The following is a 24,797-nucleotide window of genomic DNA, read 5'->3' as shown; positions in this document are numbered from 1 at the left end:
TGGAAGAAACAGAGGAAAGGGGAAAAAAGGGAGGGAGGAAGAGGGCAAAAGGGGGAGGGAGGGAAAAAGGGAGATCTGAAGCAAATATGGCAAAATTTTATTACATGAAATACTATCTAGCACTTAGGGCTGGATTGTAGATAGATGATTTTTTGTCATATTATTTTGTATGCTTTTCTGTCTGTTTGAAATATTCTATTGTAAATAGATGTGCTAATCTTTATAATAATAATTCATGGTATTATTCACCAAATTTAACAGCCTAACAAAAGTTTAGAAGTAAAAAATTAGCAAGTGGCACATATTTTCCAGTTCTACTAGTAAAGAAACTTGTTTGCATCTGGGGAAGATAATATTTGCGGTGTAACTTCCCCACTCCCTTTCCAGCACATCCTTAAAGGACTCAAATGGAATGTCGTCCTATGACAAAGAAAAGTGCTTGTGCATATTAACTCCTCTGCTGCTGAACCAATTTGTGACAGGATGAAAGCGCTACTAGGAAACAAAGTGAAGAAGGATGGACACTCTATTCAGTATTTATAAATTTCTAGGTTTTTCCTTTTCAAGCCCCCTTAGAATCTTTACGAAAAAGGTCAACAGTTTAGCATGCCTCCAAATGAAAAATGTTATGTTAATGTATTTGCTAATAAATAATTCATTTCAGAGGCAAAATTAAAGGCTCAAGTTGGTAAATAAAGCATCCAGCACTATATCCATACGTGGTCTCTGACATCAAAATAGGATGAAGGGCCGGGCATGGTGGCTTACTCCTGTAATCCCAGCACTTTGGGAGGCCGAGGCAGGTGGATCACTTGAGGTCAGGAGTTCGAGACCAACCTGGCCAACATGGTGAAACCCCATCTCTACTAAAAATACAAAAATTAGCTGGGCGTGGTGGTGTGTGCCTGTAATCTCAGCTACTCAGGAGGCGGAGGCAGGAGAATCACTTGAACCCGGTAGGCGGAGGTTGCAGTGAGCTGAGACTGTGCCACTGCACTCCAGCCTGGGCAACAAAGTGAGACTCCATCAAAGAAAGAAAGAAAGAAAGAGAGAGAGAGAGAGAGAGAAAGAGAGAAAGAGAGAAAGAGAGAAAGCGAGAAAGAGAGAGAGAGAGAGAAAGAGAGAGAGAGAGAGAAAGAGAGAAAGAGAGAGAGAGAAAGAAAGAAAGAAAGAAAGAAAGAACGAACGAACCTCAGGGTCTCTGACCTACTGTGTCAGAGAGGGCATCACTGCAGCCAACTTGGGTAAGAGGAGACACAAAGCAAGTAAGACGTTAATTTCACATAAGAACAAAAATTAATATTTTTTCTCCTTCCCACTCTCCCTCATCTCCCTTCCTCTCTCTTTCTTCCTCTTCTTTTCTTTTATAGTACACATTAAAAGGGAAACACGTCAGCCAGAGAGAAGCAGCAAAATGCTTGGGGGTGAGGGGTTGTCCCCCACCAAGTACAGCACCATCTAGGCTGCTGCCCCAAATGGTGCCATAGTAGGGAAGCCCAAAACTAAAGCAGCCAACACTGCTGTCTTCCTTCACCCAGCAAAGAGCAGAACCAAAGCATCAAAAACAGGCAAAGGGGATTGGGGGAAGAAGGAGCCAGGTCTCCTACCAGGCAGGACTAGTTTCTCTTACCTCTCTAGTCCCTGAAAGGAAGCACTTCCCCAAAGGCAGAATCCCAATTGAGCTGATAGATCGTGCACTGTGCTACAGTCCAGTGGAATGTTGTCACCCAAGCTGGCCCTATCCAATGGGGAGGAGTAAACAGATGCAGGCAAGGGAAGAGAAAATAATCTCTGGCTGCCTGGAGGCACTCACATGGAAGCAGCTAGAGAAATGGTGTGTCGGAGTGCCCACCATGATACTTGTCAGTGGGAATCCAACCAACCACATAGTCAAGTCTGGCTCAAAATGGCTAGTAATGTCTACCATTGAAAATCTAGTTTCTATGTCAAGAAGAAATGTAACATGGAAGAGAAACTCAAAGAAATTGCTAAATGAAATGCAAAGCATGTCAAGAAAATGTGGAAGAAACGGATTCTGGTTTGATCCCACTTTGCGAGCAAAATAGATCTCATTCTAAGGGGTCATATTAAGAGCGGCTTTGGCTGGGTGCAGTGGCTCACGCCTTTAATCCCAGCACTTTGGGAGGCCGAGGTGGGTGGATCATTTGAGGTCAGGAGTTCAAGACCAGCCTGGCCAACATGTTGAAACCCCGTCTCCACTAAAAATACAAAAAAATTAGCCAGGCATGGTGGCAGGCGCCTGTAGTCCCAGCTACTTGGGAGGCTGGGGCAGGAGAATCATTTGAACTTGGGAGGCGGAGGTTGCAGTGAGCTGAGATTGCGACAGAGTGGCACTCTGTATCAAAAAAAAAAAAAAAAAAAAGAGGCTTTGGCTATAATGGGAATGCTGTGGAAAAGGCAAAACCACTAAAAAGGAAAAACAGTTTCATCTTACTATGGGATGAAGGAAATATGTTTTCATATGCTGTTTTCTAATATCATTTTATGTAGATGTGGTTTCCTAACTATAGTATAAGATACTCTGTCAGGAGCATATGCTTTTTGTTTTTTGTTTTTTGTTTTTCATTTTCCCCCAAAAGAACCTAATGTACTACATTGTATGCAGTAGGTGTTCAATAAATAGATTAATAAATTTCAGGAGATGTTGATCTCACCAGCACTTAAATCAATTTACTGTAATCAGATGATTAATAGCATTCATATGAAGAGAGCATATGGCACTAAAACACCAGAATCTGCCACAATCCTCTTCTCCCTATCTTAACACAGGAAGGCAGTAGGCAGGAATTGTTAGAAAAAAGCACAAACACACAACGATTGAGAATCCTTGTTGTGCCTTGAATTTGCTATGTGAGTCCTGCTTTTAGGATACTTAACATTTATTACAGCTTCAATTTCCACATCTGAAACGAAGGTAGGAGGCAGTAGTTTTCAAAGCAAATAAGAATTGTGGAGATAGACATCAAAGAGATAACTTGGCAGAGATTTCTACTGAATTCCCTGGCAGAGGGATTCCTGGCCTAATTCTGGAAGTGCCACAGGCTCCCCATGTTGTCTCACACAAGAAATTTATCCTTAATTACCTGCTTCATTTTCTTCATTTGAAAAATAAAGGAAATGAAGGTTGGCAAAGCCTGATTGAATAGCCGGAAAAGATTCTAAATTTGTCAAGATTCAGAGTCAATCACCCTCCATTATAGCTCTTAACCAGTATTTTAATACAAATGGAATTAGCTAAAACTTCAGTGGCCCTAGGGAGAGGGGCCAAATCCTGGCCTTAGGATGTAAAGTGATTTTGAGGGAGACATATGGAATCAAGGGGTTCAGCTAACCATTTGCACATGTCAATCAAGCAGCAAAGATCCTTCATTGCCAGGTGAGGGAATGGGTCACAGAAAAAAAAAGGGAATTGGAATTGTCCTTATTTCACTACACTCTGGAGATGCCAAAGTTACCATCTTAGTCCATTTTGTGTTGCTATAACAATACCATAGACTGGGTAATTTAAAAAGAAAAGAAATTTATTTCTCACAGTTCTGGAGTCTGGGAAGCCTGAGGGCAAAGTGCCAGCATCTGGAAACAGCCTTCTTGCTGTGTTATTCCATGGTGGAAGGCAGGAAGGTGAGGGAGGGAGAGAGCAAGAGAGACTGGGGAAGGAGGCTGAACTCATCAGAGGCTGAACTCATCATTTTATCAGGACCCACTCCCACAATCAGTGACCCACTCTGGAGACAATGGCATTAATCCATGCATGAGGGCAGAGCCCTCACAACCTAATCACCTCTTAAAGATCCAACCTCTCAACACTGTTGCGTTGCGGATTAGGTTTACAATGCATGAACTTTGGGGGACAAATTCAAATCACAGTGATAATACTTGAAAGAGTAAAAGAGGCTTGTTTGTTCCTAAGGTTTCTCCTTATTAAGCCAAGGGTCAAGAATGTGGAGCAAATGATGATTTATTGTTTTAAGACTGAATTGTGGCTTAATCTTGGTTCAAAGAGAATGGAAAAGGCTGTTACAATGTCAGAATGGTAGCAAAAAAAAAAAAAAAAAATCTGGTTCCAAATTCTATTATATCAGAAGTGGACTGGGAAGCAACAAACTAACAGGAACATAAGAAACACACGTGCCCCCAGAATCTTCAGTTATCTCATAATAAACACATTCACTGAAAGCAATGGTTTGGAGGACTATACCATATTTTGGAGCTATATTAAGTAACAGAGAGAAGAGGAAGAGGAAGGAAAATAGAATCTTATCAAGAAGGAAATGAGCCAAGCAACAGCAAAAGAATGTCTAGAATATACTGAAGTCAATCTAGTTAGAAACCCCGGAGACTTTTAACCCTTTTGGGAGGAGAACTTTTCATCTGTTGATGTTTCTTGGTTTACAGTGCTGAAACCTGACGAAAGTTCAGTCAGAACTACAGGATTGTATGTTATGTTTTTAAATGTATTATGGAAGCATCAACTTGTCATTGAAAAAAACAACAAATTTAAACAAAATAAGATCAAGATCATGTAAAATTGAATACAACATTTACAAATAGATTGATTTCTAATGCAAACATTTGTAGCCCCAAATGGAGAATATTACCTGTCCCAGCAGGACTATTCAGATAATGAAAGTTGAGTCAAAAGATGTAACTCAATTTGTTAATGGGGTTCTTGAAGTGCTCATGGAAAATAAACAAATTTCCTACCCACAGCAAAGATAATTTACATATATTGGATATCATTAACCAGGTAATTGCCATCATCCTAATTTATTCCTTGATTCTTAACTCGTTTCAAAAACAAAGTGGCTTCTCTGCCAAAATTCTATTCATTCTTTTATAAATGCAGAAATTTCTTCACTCTCGAATTCCACTAATTTCCATTATCGTTAAATTAGTAGATTAAAACTTTGTCAAGATCTTCTTTATTGAACCTATTTGTTTATCTAATTCTGCCATCCTTATTAGGGGCTTTTAACTCAAAAATGTTTGGTTTTGGCTGGGCACAGTGGCTCACACCTGTAATCTCAGCACTTTGGGATACTGAGGTGGGAAAGTCACTTGAGGCCAGGAGTTCAAGACCAACCTAGGTAACATATCAAGATCCCCATGTGTACAAAGAATAAAACAAAAATTAGCCAGGTGTGGTGGTGCATGCCTGTAGTCGCAACTACTTGAGAGGCTGAGGCAGGTTTGCTTGTGTTTGGGAGGTCGAGGCTGCATTGAGCTATGGTCACGCCATGGCACTCCAGCCTGGGCAACAAAGTGAGACTCTGTCTCAAAAAAACAAAGAATAAAAACTTAAATAAATAAATAATATATATAATATGTGTATATTATACAGGTGTGTGTATATGTGTGTATATACATATATAAACATTTGTAGGTATAGATGTGTGTAGGTATATATATGTATATATTTTTGTGTGTTTTTATTTCTATTTACTGGTTTCCGTCCTAAAGCTAATCACTGGGGCCTCTGTTTTTCCAACTTTAAAATGAGTGCAGGCCAGGTGTGGTGGCTGCCGCCTGTAATCCTAGCACTTTGGGAGGCCAAGGCGGGTGGATCACCTGAGGTCAGGAGTTCAAGACCAGCTTGGCCAACATGGTGAAACCCCATCTCTACTAAAAATACAAAAAATTAGCCGGGCCTGGTTGCGGACGCCTGTAATCTCAGCTCCTCGGGAGCCTGAGGCAGGAGAATCACTTGCACCCTGGAGGCAGAGGTTGCAGTGATCTCCACTGCACTACAGCCTGGGCAACAAGAGCGAAACTCTGTCTCAAATAAATAAATAAATAAATAAATAAATAAAATAAAATGAGTGCTTGTATCAAATAAGCCTAACATTTAGGAAAATATATTTCAGTACATATAATGGAAGCAGCCTACTTTCAGAAAGACAATGAACTGATGAAAAGGGTGGTTTTTTTTTTTTTACATATTAGCTATAAAATAATTACTAAGAAGTAAAATTCAGTCACATTTTAATTCTATCAGGGTCTTAGTATTACTGAAATCAAAGCGTTTACTATTTGGTGTTACCAAATTCTCTGATGAACCGCCTTCTATTGAAGTTTTACATTTTTAAGCAAGAACAGTGTTACAGATTTCCTATACAGCCATTTAAATTCACCATGTGATATTGAATTACATTGCATTATAATGAATCATTGCCACTAGGCCAACAGGAAGTAACAACAGAAAAAGCCAAGCAATGATGTGATTTTTTTTCAGAGTTAACTGGATGTTGGCTATATTTCAATGTAGAACTTTTCTTTCTATAGAATAGATAAGAATTCCAACTTACACAGGTGCATATGTATTACATATGCATAATATATAGCAGATAATTATATGTACACAGGCAATTGTACGTAGATGTACATATATAAATATACACATATGACTTTTAAATTCTACCACATATACATTGCTCTTGTTTCTCTCAGTTACAATAAAAAGGACTGTATTTCAATTTTAGATATTCTCACTACAAAGAAATAATAAGAATGTAAGGTGATAGATATGTTAATTAGCCTGATTTGATCATTTTGCAATGTATACATGTATTGAAACAACATATTGTACCTTATAAATGTATAAAATTAGTCAATTAAAAGTGAAATAAAATTTTAAAATCCATATTGTAAAAATCTAAATTTAAAAAATCATTATAAAAATAGTCTTTATACATTACATTTCATCTGCATCTGGTATGTGGTTCTTCGAATATCTATTTTTTTCCTGCATCTAGTGTGATACAATTTTTCTTATGAAAGTTAGATTTTCTTTCCATCTGAACACATCACAAAAGCGATCACATGTATTTCCTTCACAAATCTCCAAGAGAAACTTTCTACAAACTAAGAAACAATAAGCAAATTGTTTTAAAAAGCTATAACCAGCCAGGCGCCGGTGGCTGAAGCCTGTAATCTCGGCACTTTGGGAGGCCAAGGCGAGCAGATCACCTGAGGTCGGGAGTGTGAGACCAGCCTGACCAACATGGAGAAACCCCATCTACTAAAAATACAAAATTAGCCGGGCAATGTGGTGTGTGCCTGTAATCCCAGCTACTTCGGAGGCTGAGGCAGGATAATCGCTTGAACCCGGGAAGCAGAGGTTGCGGTGAGCCGAGTTCGCACCATTGCACTCCAGCCTGAACAACAAGAGCGAAACCTCGTTTAAAAAAAAAAAAAAATATATATATATATATATATATATATATATATCTACAACCCTGAAAATGAGCTCTTAAAAATGAGATTCTTTTTAAAGATTAATCTTGGTAAATTACTCTGTTGTAACTGATTCTTTTGGATAGTGCTTATTAATGTAGAAATGTGTGACAGTTCAATCATTTTCAGTCCTGCAAGTAATTTGCAATACAATTAGAAACTCATTTCTGTTTTGCTTTGGGTTTTTTATTGTTGTTGTTTTTTGTTTTTTTTGAGATGGAGTTTCCCTCTTGTTGCCGAGGCTGGAGTGCAATGGAGCCATCTCGGCTCACTGCAACCTCCACCTCCCAGGTTCAAGCGATTCTCCTGCCTCAGCCTCCCCAGTAGCTGGGATTACAGGCGCGCACCACCATGCCCGGCTAATTTTATGCATTTTTAGTAGAGACGGGGTTTCACCATGGCCAGGCTGGTCTTGAACTTCTGACTTCAGGTGATCCTCCCGCCTCAGCCTTCCAGAGTGCTGGGATTACAGGCGTAAGCCACCGCGCCTGGCCTTTTTTTTTTTTTTCGAATTAAGAAAATTCCGTTAGCCTTTTCTCCATCTCCTCTAATTCTGGTAGCATCTTTGGACCCCTAACACTTGGCATCTGCTACTTCAGACAAACAAACCCTATGTAAATGACAAAGAAGGGGCCTCCCAACCTTCTCCCTGTGTTACTATTTCAGAAGCACTACTCGGGGCACAGTGGTACAAATTTCTTATGGCCACTAGCATCTTTTTTCAATTTTCAAAGTAATCATCAAACATCTGGGTCAATTATACTTAAATTACAGAAGCACGGAATTTTAGGCAACAGGCCCCTCATTTTACCTCAGAGATTAAGTGACTTGCTCAACATCACACAGCCTAGTAAATGGAAGTCTTGCAACCAAACTTGAGCCCCATTCCTCAGTGAGTAATCCTGAGTGTGTGTACGACAAGATAAATACAAATAATCGTGTTGTGTTCTTTACCGAAGAGAAAATGAGGATCAGCACTCTAAAATATCATTTAGCTCTATAGGGTTCCAGGCTATTCTGGTCCTGTTTTAAGTGAATAGGAATTTGTACATTACATAAACAAAGCCAAATTTTCAAATAAGGAATTAAGACAAATGCAGCAGCATAGGAGATGTTTGTGCTAAAAAAAAAAAAAAAAAGACTGTGCCTCTTTTTATCTCAGAAATACTTCATATACATTTTCTTAACTTGAAAAGGAAAGCTAAATTTGATTAAGCACATGTCTGCATATCACATGAGCCTTCTACTACTATAGAAGAGACTGGAAACCAAAAGAAATGCCACATATTTCATGGTGTGAATCAGTTTCTTTCCAAATGACACTTCCTTTGAAAAGGCATAAATTTGGAATTTGACTTTTGGATAATGCTGTTTTTCAATTTTCAAATATAATTGTGATGTAATTGATCTAATCTGCATTTCAAAGCTGCTAAAGCTGAGTTTACCACCAAAACTAAGCACAAGATCTCCTTTTATGGACCAAAATAAAGAGCAGTGTACTGAAATATTAGATAAGCTTTTGTTCTTTTCTTCAAATATTTGCATGAATTATTCAGGCTTTATATGGATAGAGCTTTGAAATATTCAAATTCCTTGAGCTATTTCCTTATGTAAGATTCATATTTATTAAATCCTGTAGCATGTACTTTTCCTGTGAAAGTACAGATTCAGTTCCATTATGATTTCTTCAGCAGAGATCCTACACACAGCAGAGAGTCTCAGGTGGTGGAGGAGATACAAAGATATGCAAAACAATCTTCAAGGATCTTACACATAAGGGGGAATACAAAGCCATAAAATACTTGCAAACCACAAGTTATAGAGTTTCCAAAGAGAAAGAGATATCTTCCAGCCAAGGTCTAAAGGAAAACCTTCAGAGAGAAGCTGGCATTTCAGATGGGCCCTGAAGAACTAAAATGAATTTCACAAGTAGGGGAACAGTAAAATGAGGGGGCTGAGATCTCAACTTCGCCCATGCTCCTGTTTCCATCTTTGAAATCTCTTTTAGATATGACAACCCATGCAGTCAACTTCCCAGCTATGTTGCCAGCCCCTTAATTCTGCCTCTCTTCCTGGTAAACACATTCTGACTATCCCAGGAACCCCCTTTCTGAGGGCTACCCTTCTACTCCTTCCCCACAAAGATGCCCCCTTCAGCTCTTCTGGGTGTCACAAACAACACTAATGAAGCAAGAAAGAGTAGTAGTGACAGTCTCATCAGAATCCTCAACCCATACCCCTGCTTCCTCCCCATTGAGTCCTGCGTGGTGAAAGATGCCATCCAAAGTTAGAAACCTGGCGACGAACGTGGCCATGCGATCTCAACTCTCACTTAACAATACTTCTGTGACTCCTCAAATTATATTTCTCAACTGGGCACATGAATCTTTTCTGTCCATTCTCAGCACTCCCCACTCCCTGGTTCACAGTGACTCTTTGTAGACCCCGCCACATGCACACACAAATGTGCACACACACTCACAGACACCCTGTTGTATTTTCCTTCTGTCTTTGCTTGTGCTTCCCCCTTGTATTAGTCCATTCTCACATTGCTATAAATACCTGAGACAGGGTAATTTAAAAAGAAAAGAGGTTTAACTAGCTCGCAGTTCTTTGTGCTATACAGGAAGCATGATGCTGTCATCTTCTTGGTTTCTGGGGAGGCCTCAGGAAACTTACAGTCATGGTGGAAGGTGAAGGAGAAGCACACATCTCACATGACTAGAGTGACGGCAAGAGAGAGAGCGAAGGGGGGAAGTGCCACGTACTTTGAAACAACCAGATCTTGCAAGAACTCACTATCATAAGAACAGCACCAACACGATAGTGCTAAACCATTCATGAGAAATACGTCCCCATGATCTTGTCACTTCCTGCCAGGCTCCACCGCCAACACTGGGGATTACAATTCGACATGAGATTTGGTGGGGACACAGTTCCAAACCATACCACCCCTCTATCTGGAATACAACTCCATCCTTCCCTGGGTTGTCCTGAGAGTCCCTACTCATCCTTTAGGTTTCAGCTCAATTAAATTCTTTTCTTTTGAACAGTTTCTTGCTCTTCTAAAGTAAATCCATTACCCAGAACACATAAACACAAAGTCTTTAAACTTTGCTCATTCATCAGAGAATTCTTCCTCCTTGGTGTCAGAGAGAGGGCAGCAAAGAAAGCTGTGAATATTTATAAGGTAAGTTTTGTTATTGGGGCAGGGGATGTGGGAAGAATCCATATCACAAATTTTGAACACAAATGAGTCCAAATATTGCCACATTTAACTGTCCTGCTTCTCTGGAAGAATACCAAAATGGTCCAAAAGAAGAAATAACAAGGGACCATAGCAGGTGTGTGAGCCGTGCAATGGCAAAAAGAGGAAATGACAGGAAAGAGGATGGATAGGATGTATAATTAACTGACTCTGGAGAAAATATGAGGAATCAAGGAAGGGTATGATTCTGAGCCTTAGAAACTAAGGGAAAGATGATATCTATAACAGGCTGGGCATGGTGGCTCACTTCTGTAATCACAGCACTTTGGGAGGCTGAGGTGGGAGGATCACTTGAGGTCAGGAGTTTGAGACCAGCCTGGCCAACATGGTGAAACCCCATCTCCACAAAAAATACAAAAATTACTCTGGTGTGGTGGTGCATGCCTGTAATCCCAGCTACTCAGGAGGCTGAAGCAGGAGAATCACTTGAACACAGGAGGTGAAGGTTGCAGTGAGCCGAGATCACACCACTATACTCCAGCCTGGGCAACGGAGCAAGACTCCATCTAAGAATAATGATATCTGTAATGGCATTTGGGAGGATTAAAGGGGAGGAAATTTGATGGAACAGCAGGGCATCAAGTGGAACGTGTCACAAGCAGATCTGTAGCTTAGAACTCAGGGGAGGGGGAAGCCCTGGTGAACAGATAGGGACTTAGCAATGACCAAAGATGAGAATAAGCAAAATTAGCTGAAATAGAGGGTAAAACCAGAGCACCAAGGACTTGGCCTTGTGGGACATCCACAGTTACAAAAGGGGAAGAAAAAGTGAAAGCAGTTTAAAAACTGGAAGCATCAGAAGAGGTAGTGATCCGGGACAGCAGAGCATCCTAACAGCCAACAGGAGAGAGGTAAAAGGAAGAGCAGTCAACACTGCTGGATGCTGCAGAGGAGTGAAGGAAAATGGGGGCTGAAGGAAAAACGGTTTCATTCAGTGACTCGGAAACAACAGCAGTGACTTCAGAGAGGGCAATTGCCAAGAGAAAGGTGAGAGAGGAAGCTAGATTACGAACTGCAGAGAAGCAAATGCTAGTTGATTTCTAGTCAAGATGGGGCTTTGAGGACCACGCCAATCCAAAATGATAGTGATAATAGATTTAATATAAAATGGGAAAAATGTAAGGCATTTTCACACTTAAAAACATCTCCATAGCCCAGAAATGGAACAGAAACAATATGGTAAGTAGCCTGAAGATGTAGACCAGCTCAATTCTGCCAACAGCAAACAGAGGCATCCAGGGGCAAGACTCATACAGGGTACTAAGAACTAAATAACCCATGTGAGGCAGAAGACTCACATGAAATCAAGGGCTGGGATAAGGCTACCCCCTTGAAAGGAATTGCCTAGGGCTACAGGCTTGTAAACATCTGTATACCTAGGGACATGGAAGAACCAGGCATAGTCTTAAAGACGGAATTTGACCCTAGAGAAGGAACTGGATCTACAATACTATAGGATAAAACCGAGGTCTAGGCCTGGGAGGCCCAGAAAGTAGGTAACGGCAAAACTATGAGACCAGGAAGGTTAAGCCTAGGGGGACAGGAAGGAAGGAATGAAGGAAGAGAAGAAGGAACAGAGAAAAGGAGAGAGGGAGAGAAATAAGAAAGACTGCCAAAAATAGAAACCACAACATGGAGAAGCATTCACACCAGGTAAAAACAAAATACTAGAGTATCTGAAAATTACTTCTTTAAAAAGAATTTGTTCAAGACTTTCAAAGGAATTAAGCAGAGGAATAACATTCATAAAAATTATGAAGCACGAACCGTCAGAAATAAAATAGCTATGATTATGAAGAATAACAAATTAAAATCCTGAGAATTAAAAATACAGTCATAGAAAAGTTTTTTTTTGTTTTGAGACAGAGTTTCACTCTTGGTGCCCAGGCTGGAGTGCAATGGCATGATCTTGGCTCACCGCAACCTCCGCCTCATGGATTCAAGAGATTCTCCTGCCTCAGCCTCCCTAGTAGCCGGGATTACAGGCGCCTGCCACCATGGCCAGCTAATTTTTTGTATTTTTAGTAGACACAGGGTTTCACTATGTTGGCCAGGCTGGTTTGGAACTCCTGACCTCAGGTGATCCACTCTCCTCAGCCTCCCAAAGTGCTAGGATTACAGGTGTGAGCTACCATGTCCAGCTCAGTCATAGAAATTTTTAAAAGAAAGAAAGAACAATGAATAGGATAAACTCTGAAATGAACACACTTAGAAAATTGGGAAATAGTACAATATTGCTAAACTGACCCATGACAAAATATTGCACCCGCAGAGTTAAGAGACATATACGGTAGGCAGGGAGACCTCAACATACCACTGCTAAGAGTTTCTGATGAAGAGCAGTTTGGTGATTAATACATTCATTTATTCTTTTTTTTTTTTTTCAGATGGAGTCTCGCTGTGTTGCCCAGGCTGGGGTGCAATGGCGCAATCTTGGCTCACTGCAACCTCCACTTCTTGGGTGCAAGTGATTCTCCTGCCTCAGCTTCCTGAGTAGCTGGGATTATAGACGCGCACCACCATGCCCAGCTAATTTTTGTATTTTTAGTAGAGATGGAGTTTCACCAGCTTTGGCCAAGCTGGTCTCAAACACCTGACCTTGTGATCCACCCATCTTGGCCTCCCAAAGTGCTGGGATTACAGGCATGAGCCACCACGCCTGGCCCATTTATTTAATTCTTAGAATGAAAAAAAATATATTGGCAACAAGTATCCAACTGAAGAAGCTGAAAAGAATGTTAGTGAAAATCCAAATAAAGAGGAAGAAACTAACATGCAGGCACAGAGATTAATAAAACACACACACAGATACACACACACACACACACACACACACACACACACACACACCAGAAGTGAAAAATGAAACAAAAAGCTAGTATAGTCGGCTCTCCATCTGTATCTGCAGTTTCCACATCCACAGATTCAACCAATTGTAGACAGAAAATATTCTGAAAAATAAAAAATAACAATACAACAATAAATATGCAAATAAAAACAATATAGCATAACAACTATTTACATAGCATTTATATCATATTAGGTATTTTATGTAACCTAGAGAAAATTTGAAGCATACAGGAGAATTGTGCAGGCTATATGCAAATAGTATGGCATTTTACATCAAGGACTTGAGCATCCTTGGATTTTGGTATGCAAGTGTGTCCTGGAACCAATCCCCCACAAATACCAAGGGACCACTGTACTTTGAAAAAACTAATTAAATTGACACACTTCTATTAAGGCTGATCAAAAAGACAAGAGAAGGCACAAAAATATTAGGAAAGAAAAGGTAATATAAACAATTCAAGTAAAATTTATAAATACAACTTTTTTTTTTTTTTTTTTTGAGACAGGGTCTCACTCTGTCTTCTAGGTTAGAGTGCAGTGCCATCATCTAGGCTCACTGCAGCCTCAACCTTCCAGGCTCAGGCGATCCTCCTCAGCTCAGCTTCCTGAGTAGCTGGGACTACAGGTATGTGCCAGCACATCCGGCTAATTTTTGTATTTTTTGTAGAGAGGAGGTTTTGCCATGTTGCCCAAGCTGGTCTCAAACTCCTGGGCTCAAGCAATCTACCCACCTCAGCCTCCCAAAGTTCTGGGTTTTACAGGCATGAGCCACCGTGCCTGGCTACAAATACAAGCTTTTTAATTCTTCAGAAAATATTGCTGGGCACGGTGGCTCACACCTGTAATCTCACCACTTTGGGAGGCCGAAGCAGGTAAATCACACGGTCAGGAGTTTGAGACCAGCCAGTTCGAGATCAGCCTGGCCAACATGGTGAAACCTCGTATCTACTAAAAATACAAAAATTAGATGGTTGTGGTGGCAAGCATCTGTAATCCAAGCTACTCAGGAGACTGAGACAGGAGAATTGCTTGAATCTGGGAGGTGGATGTTGCAGTGAGCCGAGATCGCGCCACTGCACTCCAGCCTGGGCGACAGAGCAAGACTCCATCTCGGAAAAAAAGAAAGAAAGAAAGAAAGAAAATGTTATTTTTCAACCTCATGCTAATAAACTTGTATACATGGATTTAGTAGAAATGTTTTTAAACAAATACAAATTATCAAAATAAACTCAAGAAGAAATAGGGAGCCTGAATAGATTTAAAAAAATCAGTAATAGATCAAACAACAATCAATCAAAATTATTACTTATCAATAAATATCAGGCCCAAGTGTTTTTGTTTTTTTTTTCAGATGGAGTTTTACTCTTGTTGCCCAGGCTGGAGTGCAATGGCCCGATCTCGGTTCACTGCAACCTCCACCTGCCAGGTTCAAGCGATTCTCCTGCCTCAGCCTCCCAAGTAGCTGGGATTACAGGCATGCACCACCACTCCTGGCTAATTTTGTATTTTTCGTAGAGACGGGGTTTCTCCATGTTGGTCAGGCTGGTCTCGAACTCCCGACCTCGGGTGATCTGCCTGCGTTGGCCTCCCAAAGTGCTGGGATTATAGGCGTGAGCCACCGAGCCTGGCCTCAAATGTTTTTTTACAAATGAGTTTTATCAAGCTTTCAATTAAGAAATAGTAGCTATCATACAGGAACTACTTTGTAAAATTGGAAAGAAAGGAGGTACTATCCAATTCACTCTATGATTCTAGGGTAGCCCTAACACCCAAAACAAATGGCAGTAAAAATATTACATACCAAACTCACTTATAAACTGAATTGAAAAGATCCTATAGGCTGCTCTGTCTATGGAGTAACCATTCCATTTTATTTTATTTTTTATTTTTATTTTTATTTTTTTGAGACGCAGTCTCACTCTGTCACCAGGCTGGAGTGCAGTGGTGTGATCTCGGCTCACTGCAACCTGTGACTCCCTGGTTCAAGTGATTCTTCTGCCTCAGCCTCCCGAGTAGCTGGGATTACAGGCATGTGCCACCACACCCAGCTAATTTTTGCATTTTTAGTAGAGACAGAGTTTCACAATGTTGGCCAGGATGGTCTCGATCTCCTGACCTCGTGATCCGCCTGCTTCGGCCTCCCAAAGTGTTGGGAAGTGTTGGGATTACAGGTGTGAGCCACCACGCCCGGCTGGAGTAGCCATCCTTTTATTCCTTACTTTCTTAACAAACTGCTTTCACTTAAAAAAAAAAAAAAAGAAAGAAAGAAAGAAAGAAAAAAATAAAAGACCCTATATCTCTAATTAGAAACCTTAGGAAAAGATAAATTCTAAATAAAATCCTAGTCAATTAAATTCAAGAATGTATTTTAAAAAATAAAAATACCTCATAACCAAATAGAATTTACCCCAAGAATATAAGAATGTTTTGACATCAGAAAATATCTATATATTTGTTCATAATATTGCCTACATACAGAAAAACACACAAAAAAAACCCTCTATGGAATTTTTTAAAAAAGACATTCTACAAAAGTAAACATTCATTCATGAGTTAGTAAATTTTGTATATATTTTATTAGGATAAATTGTCCTCTGACCATTTCTTCATTCATTCATTCTTTGTTTCCTTCCTCCCATCTACCATTAAAAGCAAGGCTATAATAAGTATTTTCCTACAGTCTCTTTATGCACACATAAAATAACCTCTCTAGAGTGTATACTTAGAAGGAGCATTGCCTAGGGGAAGGATCTGCTCATCCTCAAGTATTTATAAATTGTAAAGGTTTGTACAAATTTACACTGCTACCAGCAGTGTATGGGAGCTTCCCCATATCAATGCCAACATTTTCAATACTTTTTACCCGAAATGAATGGGGATAAAATTTATTTATGAATTCTACCAATATTTATTGAGAACTTAGTATGTGTCAAGAACTGGAAAAGAGTAGTAGGTAATGAGGTGAAAAAGGTCATGGTGTGCAGAGGATGCATGTGGCACCGTTGTCATAACTTTGGCTTGAAGTGACATGAAAAGCTATTGGAGGATTTGATTCAGAGAAATGGCATGATTTGACTGTTTTGTAAGAATCACCCTGGCTGTTGTGTTGAGAACAGACTATAAGGAAGCGATGAAGGAAGCAGGGAGACTAGTTAAGAGGCTATTGCAGTAATTCAGACAAACAGATGATGGGGGGTTGGACCACCATAAAAATACTTCATTTAAAAATTTTGTATTTCCCAGAATTGCAGTGAGACCATGTTTATGACCATGGGTAGAAAAGGCCTCCTGAAACAATACAAAAAATACCAAAGTCATAAAGAAGAGGATTAATAAATTTTACTATATCAAAACTTTACATCTGTTCAACAAAATGAGATTCAAATCCAAAGGAGAGACTGGGTGAAAGTATTGTAATGTATGTAGCAAAGGACTTGCCTTTATATGTCCCCAGAAAAAAGACAAAATTGAAAAATGGGCAAAGAACATAAATAAGCAATTCACAAAGAAGGAACATGAATGGCAAACGAGCATCTGAAAAGATGCTCAGTCTTACTGGTTTTGGGGGGAAACAAAAAGAAGAGGATGCTATTTTTTATACATTGGATTGACAATAAATAAGAAAGACTGATGTGTTGGGAAGCATCTGGAAAAACAGACATTCTCTTACCGTATTCCTGGGAATATAAACTGGCCAACCTTTTTGGAGTACACATTGGCAGCAATCCTTCACACTTTGGATGCGCCTATCATTTGACCCAGCAATCTCACACCTTGGTATCCACTGTAGAGAGATACTTGCATATGTGCAAAAAGGAAGCAGGTACAAGGTTGTTTCACTATAGTACTATTTATAGTGGTAAAAACTGATAGCATAGCAACCTAAATGATCATCGAAAGACTGACACTTAGTGATGCATCTGACTTATGTGAGAGCATGCAGCAGTTGAAAAAAACTAAAATGTACTGACACAGAAAAATCTCTGAGAGATATGGCTAAACTTAAAAAAAAAAAAAAAAGCAAAGTTGAAGAACAATCCACTGTGTGATACCATTTCAGTCAAAACAAAACAAAGCAAAATTCCCTCACTGGCTCTCTCTCTGTCTGTGTATAGATATAGATAGATAGATAGATACATAGATAGATAGATAGATAGATAGATAGATAGATAGATAGATACATATACACACATATGTAGATGCAGATGTATGTACACAGATAGATCAATAAAGATATATAAATAACTAAAAAGATGAAAAGACACACTCCAACTTGAAATCAGTGTTTGCTCTAAGGAAGAACCTGAAATAGGGGTTGAAGGAGTAGGAGGAAGAAAAAGTTTTTATTCATCTTTCTTATGTGATTTTCTTAAAGATTCCTTGAAGCTTCACTATGTGTAGGAAAAGACCTTCCCCTTTCTAAGTTACTGTTCAGTGTCAGGCATCTGGGCCCCTGCACTGCATTCCAGACTAGCTGCATTTCTGGTGAAGCCAGTGATTCATCTGAGCATGCCCTGGGCCAGCCCCAGGTGCAGCTATTCTGTGCTTTATTCTAGGCTCAATATCCACCCAGACTGACCTTGGGCAAATCAGTTTCAGTTCCTTTCTCTTATCTAGCTCAGTTGTGGGGCAGTTACCTCACAATGGGATGAGAACGAGGATGCAAGCAAAGTATTCTATAAGCTGCCTCCTCAATCTTCTCAGTGCCTCTGGTAACCAGCCAAGCCAGTCTTGGCCGTGTGGAGGTGGACACTTCAGGGGAAATGCTTGCTGACTTTGTGCACTATTCGGGCAAAAGGGCAAGCTGGGGATACCATTGCTGGAAAATTTTTAGTGCAACCAAGTGTTCCCTACCCATCTGGCCAGCTAGATACGGTTTTTCTTGCACCCTTTTTCAGTAAATGTAGAGCAGATAAGACAGCCTTTTACCCCACAGATTAAGCCCTGGAGAGATCATCCATAAATTACAAATATAGATTGATTTGGGGTGGGGGTGGGGAGGGAAGGCAGGAGAGGACCTAAATGCCATAAACAAACTCCTAAGGAGAATGCCATGAATAAAAACTTCCTGTACCAGTCAGCAGCATCCTAATGAGAGGGAGTTCACATGTGTACAACAGCTGTGTAAATTATAAAGCTTAAAAGGTAGAACTAACCGCATCATACTACTTCCAAAACACTCGATTCCTTCCTTCTTTCTTCTTTTCTACTCCAAAATAACCTAAAACAATCCTATAACAATTACAAACTGGGGGAAAGGCAAACCATTCTGGGAAAGAAAAAAATAGCAGCTGCTCTAGATATCATTTTCAGATTTTGGCTAGGATTGTTTAAGTTATTTTTTATTTTCTTTTATTCTTGGCTGGCTTGACAGTCCTTCAGGATTTCAGCTGATTCCAAACACAGCTCAGTAAAGATCATTCCAGAGAAGTTTCATATTCCTAAGATTCCTTAAATTTCTCTTTCTTTTAACTTAGGAAATTAGGTTGAAAGAAGATGAAAAACAGCCCAGATTGCACCATTTCCTATGCAAGTTTCTTGCAAAGCAAGCTGTGTCCCCCTTTCCAACAAGAACAGAGAGACATAGTTCTGACTGGGAGGTGGGCGGTGGGTCCTCTGGAGCAGCAGCAGGACTATTTGTCTTTTGAAAATGCCCCAGCAGGCCCAAAGTCTGTCTGAAAACTTTTTGTAAAGGAGGAGGAGAAAAAAAAAATGAAATTCTAGTGAGCTAACCATCTAAAAAAGCCAGTGACTGCACTGTGGACTTCTTTCATGCAAGAAATATTTATTTTGCACCTAGGTGTGCCAGGCTCTGTTCTATATACTGAAGAGGGAGCAATAAAGACAACTAAGTGTCTGATTCCCTCAGAGTTTCTGTGCCTGGGGACTGTTACAGGAAAGCGGTCCTGATCCAGACCCCAAGAGAGGGTTCTTGGATCTTGCGCAAGAGAGAATTCAGGGCAAGTCCACAGTGCAGAGCAAAAGCAAATTTATTAAGAAAGTAGAGGAATAAAAGAATGGCTACTCCATGGACAGAGCAGCCCTGAGGGCCGCTGGTTGCCCATTTTTATGATATGCTAAACAAGGGGCGTATTATGCTAAACAAGGGATGAATTATTCATGCCTCCCCTTTTTAGACCATACAAGGTAACTTCCAGACATTGCCATGGCATTTGTAAACTGTCATGACGCTAGTGGGAGTGTAGTAGTAAGGACAACCAGAGGTCACTCTTGACGCCATTTTGGTTTTGGTGAGTTTTAGCCGGCTTCTTTACTGCAACTGTTTTATCAGAAAGGTCTTTATGACCTGTATCTTGTGCCGACCTTCTGTCTTATCCTGTGACTTAGAATGCCTTAACCGTCTGGGAATGCAGCCCAGTAGGTCTCAGCCTCATTTTACCCAGCTCCTATTCAAGATGGAGTTGCTCTGGTTCACACACCTCTCACAAAACCATGAAGACAATTCAAGGAAGCCCTTTCCCCTGTCTGCTCCCAGCTGGGTTTCAAGTCTCTTCCTTCTGTTGGTCCTTCTCTTACAACCCTGGTTTATTATACCCTTTACCCTTCCCTTATGTAATCACATGTCCCTTTGTAAACATCAAAGGAAAATAAGCAGGCCCAGGGAGCTGATGAAAATGAGAATGATGACTCATAGAAGGATGTTTTTCTATTTTTCACTTATACAAGCCTCTTCTGAAAAGAGCCTAGATGCCTTTTCTTTCTGAAACTAGTTTGTCTCCTCTATTGTAGTGAGTCCTCACTTTGGCTCTGATTATCAAAATCTACTCTCAACCATTCACTGCTACGTGCCTCCAGCTCACCTGGGCCCTCAGAGTAGTCAGGCAATCATTTCTTATTTCCCTAAGCAGCTTTTCTCCCCCCTTTCACCCTTCATTTAGGCTATTTTTAAAAATCTTCATACTCCCTAAAGTTCCATGCTCATATGCCACCCCAACGATCACATTCACCCACTATAGACAGTGTCCGTACTTCATAGACAAAATAGAAGCCATTGGAAAACTCCATTTCCAATCATGCCACCTAGAAGGTTCTCTGCATCTGCACGTATTTTTTTCCATCCTGCACAAAGAAAGGGTGTCCTCCCATTTAAGGTGAGTGCCTGCACCCAAGTTTTGGATACACCCCCCTTTAGTCTTCTCAGGAAGGGTCCTCCATCCGTTATTCCCTTCTTTACCTCGCCATTCATTTCTTCCCTCTGCTGGGTCCTTTCCTTCAGCCTAACACAAAACCCCTGGCCTCTCTTCCTACACACTTCTTACTAAAAACTGCCCAGAAACTCATCCAAGAATTAATGAACAAAAAAGGAACCAGAAAAGGATCTATATTAAAGATACTATTAGTTGACCATTGGATTTTTTTCATCCCCACGACTGTCTCCTTTTTATTCATATTCATCTTTCTGGAATATTTTCTCAACTCTATTTTGTTTTCCTTTTTCTTTCTTTTTTTTTTTTTTTTTTTTTTTTTTTTGAGATGGAGTCTCGCTCTGTCGCCCAGGCTACAGTGCAGTGGCATGATCCTGGCTCACTGCAACCTCTGCCTCCCGGGTCCAAGCAATTCTCCTGTCTCACCCTCCTGAGTAGCTGGGAATACAGGCACACGCCACCACGCCCGGCTAATTTTTGTATTTTTAGTAGAGACGGGATTTCACCACATTGGTCAGGCTGGTCACAAACTCCTGACCTCAGGTGATCCACCCATCTCGGCCTCCCAAAGTGCTGGGATTACAGGCGTGAGCCACTGTGCCCAGCCTCAACTCTGTTTTCTAATCCTTCCAGTGAAATTTTAACTTTGCCAATCATATTCTCATTCCCAAGATTTCCTTGTATTTCTGATAATTCTTTTCATAGCATCTTTTGTCTTGTTTTAGTTAGGTAATACCCCTCAAATCTCTGAAAATACTAATTAGAGTCTGTTGGTCTTTTTTTTTTTTTTAACTGACTTCTGTTCCCTAAGTTATATCTGTCGGCCTTGCGGGATACCAGTCATTACTGGGTGTATGCTGATAGGTATGTATATACATTCATATCAGTTCTCTAGGTCATGTTCCTGGACTCCAGATTTATATCTTTAATTGCCTAGTGAACAAGTTGCTTTGACATCCCAAAGGCATTTCAAATGAAACTCATAGATCCCTCCAGGCTTGTTTTTTTAATCTCGGTAAACGACACTACCACCTACTCAGTTACCTAAGACCCATCGGTAATTCTTGACTGGCGCTATTTTTCCTCAACTATATCTAATACATTTATTCCTAGTGAATCTAGCTCCTTAATATCACTGGATATTATCTCAATGTTTCCCACTTTATTGAAGAAACACAGGTGGTGTAAATCCTGGCATATGTCCACATACTTAACCATTCTATCTCAGGGAAGGTGGAATGACCTATGATTTGTAAATTTGGAAAGGACAAACTGGGCATGCTAGTTTCTGCCACCCTTCCTCCTCGTGGCTGCTGGCCACAGGGGACACACATTCTAATCCTCCAGGTATAGTTTTTCTCAAGGGGCATCACAGGTTGGATTCCCTGGGAAGTAGATTCTGAAACGGAAATTAGTGTGTAGGAGGTTTTATTGGGGAATGCTCTTGGGATCGACGCTTTTTCCCAAGGGACAGGTGTTTCCTTGTGGATCCTAAGGAAAGGAAAGGAGAAGGAAGGGGAAAGAATGAGAAGAGAAGGGTAGAACGGAAAGGGTAGAAACAGGAAAAGAAGGGAAGGGAGCAAGATTGGGCAAAGGGAGAAGTTGAGCTGAGATTCAGTCTCAATGCAGACCTCAGCTGGACTTTGGGGAGCACCAAAGCTGGGATGGCCTTTCGAAATTGTCTCAAATTGGGATCAAGACTTTACATTTTCTACTTGGATCAGTCATTACACATGGACCACCTCAGGCAGGGAGCATGACTTTGGGCTAGTGGCTCTCTTTAGACAAGGCCATCCCTAAAGATGACTACTAGTTGATGGACGTGTCTGCAAGCAGCACTCCCAGCAGGGGGAATAAATTGTATATTTGGGAAAACAAATCTAGGTGGCACACCACAACATTCACATCAGAGGCACATACCCTAATCAAGGGGTTTATTTAGCATCTCATTTGGCTCTCACACTAAGCTAAGACCTATACCTTAGCTTTTTTTTCAGCAATAAATGTTTTAGAGCCTGTCTTCCAATCATTTGTTTTATTGCTTTATTTTTCCAGAGGCTTAGGCTGGGATGAGGGCTGCCATTTAAACCTAAAACATTTCTCAACATCCTTCTCTCTGTTCCACTAGGTCAGGCCATCCTTGTCTCTTTCCTGAACTACAGCTTCAGTTTCCTATCTGGCTGTCCTATTTCCATTAGTACCACTCTTCCGCTTTTCCTCCACAGTTCAGCAGAAGGAGATTTCAAAAGCACAAATCTGATCATTTCACTTGTGGGTGTTTAAAACTCTTCCTTGCTTTCCCATTGCCTTCAGGGATTAGACCTAAGTTTCTTAACAGAGCTGGACAGGCCAATGAGATCTGATCTCACTTAGCTAGTCTTATTCTCTTAATACTCCATCATTCCCCACCTCTCTACTTGATGTTCCAGTGCAGGAAAAGTACTTAAAGTCTCAATTAGCAACCAAACTGTTTCTTTACTTTGCTTTTTAAATGTTTCCTCAGATTAGAATATATTGAACTTTTTTTTTTTTTTTTGGTCAGTCTCACTCACTTGACTGTGAGTATTTTGGCAGCAGGGATACTTCCTGTTCTTACAATAGGCACTCAATAAATGTTAAATAAATACGTATATACATATATATATATATATGGAAAGGATTTACAATCTGTTAAATGCTTATTTATTAGTGGTGTCCACTAAACCTATGAGAAAATGTTCCACTTTCCTATTAAAAAGCACTCTAAAACAAGGGGGTACAGTTTTTCACCTAGAAATTGGCAGAGTTACTAAAAATAATACTGGAGGCTAGCAAGGGTATGGCAAAATGGGCATCTGATACACTGCAAGTATCAGAAAAGCATTTTGGCAATATGGAACAAGTCTCAAGATGTGTAAGCCATGTGCCCTAATAATTGCACAACTAGAAATCTAATCAGAGATAGGAGTAAAATTTATGTTCAAAGGTGTTCATTGTAACATGCGTCTCTATTATACTCTTGAATTGTCCATGCATTCTATAATGAGGATGTTTTAATTTAAAAATCAGTAAAATGGAGACTGGGCAAAGTGGCTCATGCCTGTAATCCCAGCACTTTGGGAGGCTGAGGCAGGCGAGTCACCTGAGGTCAGGAGTTCAAGACCAGCCTGACCAACATGGTGAAACCCCAGCTCTACCAAAAAATACAAAAATTAGCCAGGCGTGGTGGCACATGCCTGTAATCCCAGTTACTCAGGAGGCTGAGGCAGGGGAATCACTTGAACCTGGGAGGCAGAGGTTGCAGTGAGCCAAGATCATGCCACTGCACTCCAGCCTGGGCAACAGAGTGAGACTCCATCTCAAAAAAAAAAAAAAAAAAAAGTTAGGATTACAGTTTGTAGAAGTGAGGTTCCAGGAATGCTCAATGATCTGGTTTCCTTATATTCACACATTAGCATGAAGACCCTTGTGTAGTTCCCGTTCAAATTGTACCAGAGGTGAAGTGTGTGACCAGTAAAATATGACAGGAGTGATGGCAAGATTAGGTTTTAAAAGACATGAGCAGGGCATGGTGGATGGTGGGTCATGCCTGTAATCCCAACACTTTAGGGGGCCAAGGCAGGAGGACTGCCTGAGGCCAGGAGTTCTGAGCAACATAGTGAGACCCTTGCCTCTACCAAAAAAAAAAAAAAAAAAAAAAAGCCAGAAGTGTTGGCACACACCTCTCTAGTTCCAGCTCAGCTACTCAGGAGGCTGAGGTGGGAGGATCGCTTGAGCCCCAGAGGTTCTGGGACCCCTTTTCTCGTCTCTGCCCTCCAGCCTGCGTAACAGAGCAAGACCCGGTCTCCAAAAAATAAATAAATAAAATAAACTTACAAAAATTTTAAAAGACACTAGAACATCTATCTGAGTCCTTAGTTTTTCTCCCTTTCCATTTATGAGATATTATTACATAAGGCAAATTCTCTTTCCTTTCTCTGTCTCTATCACTTGCTTATGGGGAAAGCCAGTTGCCACATTATGAGGGCACACAATGAGAGACTCACATAGCAAGACATTGTGGCCTCTTGTCAGCATCACATGAGTGAGCTTGGAAGCAGGTCCCCAGCCCAGGTCAAGCTTCAGATGGCTGCAGCCCCAGCTAATGTGTTGACTGCAACTTCATGAGAGACCTTGAGCCAGAAACATCCAGTTAAGCTCCTTCTGGATTTCTAATCTAGAGAAACTGAGATAACAAATGCTTACTGTTTTAAGTTGTTACATTTTGAGTAAGGTGATCA

General features: G+C 40.5%; 1 long non-coding RNA gene across 1 annotated transcript in view, besides 2 other annotated features; it reads right to left on the bottom strand.

The window, feature by feature from the left end:
• The window catches only part of MAP4K3-DT (MAP4K3 divergent transcript), a 163,929-nt gene that overhangs the window by 113,345 nt on the left and 25,787 nt on the right, over window positions 1-24,797 (bottom strand). The window lies entirely within an intron of this gene.
• Window positions 17,091-17,140: a silencer, noted in NCBI's record as "silent region_11388". NCBI's record gives its function as "represses an Ori minimal core promoter by ATAC-STARR-seq in GM12878 lymphoblastoid cells {active_cell/tissue: GM12878}" and the evidence as "EXISTENCE:reporter gene assay evidence [ECO:0000049][PMID:35858748]".
• Window positions 17,993-18,493: an enhancer, noted in NCBI's record as "NANOG-H3K27ac hESC enhancer chr2:39696648-39697148 (GRCh37/hg19 assembly coordinates)". NCBI's record gives its function as "activates a minimal SCP1, AML or CMV promoter by ChIP-STARR-seq in naive H9 embryonic stem cells {active_cell/tissue: H9 hESC(naive)}" and the evidence as "EXISTENCE:reporter gene assay evidence [ECO:0000049][PMID:30033119]".

This window comes from Homo sapiens, chromosome 2 (assembly GCF_000001405.40).
Source record: "Homo sapiens chromosome 2, GRCh38.p14 Primary Assembly".
NCBI lineage: Eukaryota > Metazoa > Chordata > Mammalia > Primates > Hominidae > Homo > Homo sapiens.
Note: the sequence above shows the minus strand (reverse complement) of the source record. Positions and strands in the feature narration are given on the sequence as shown.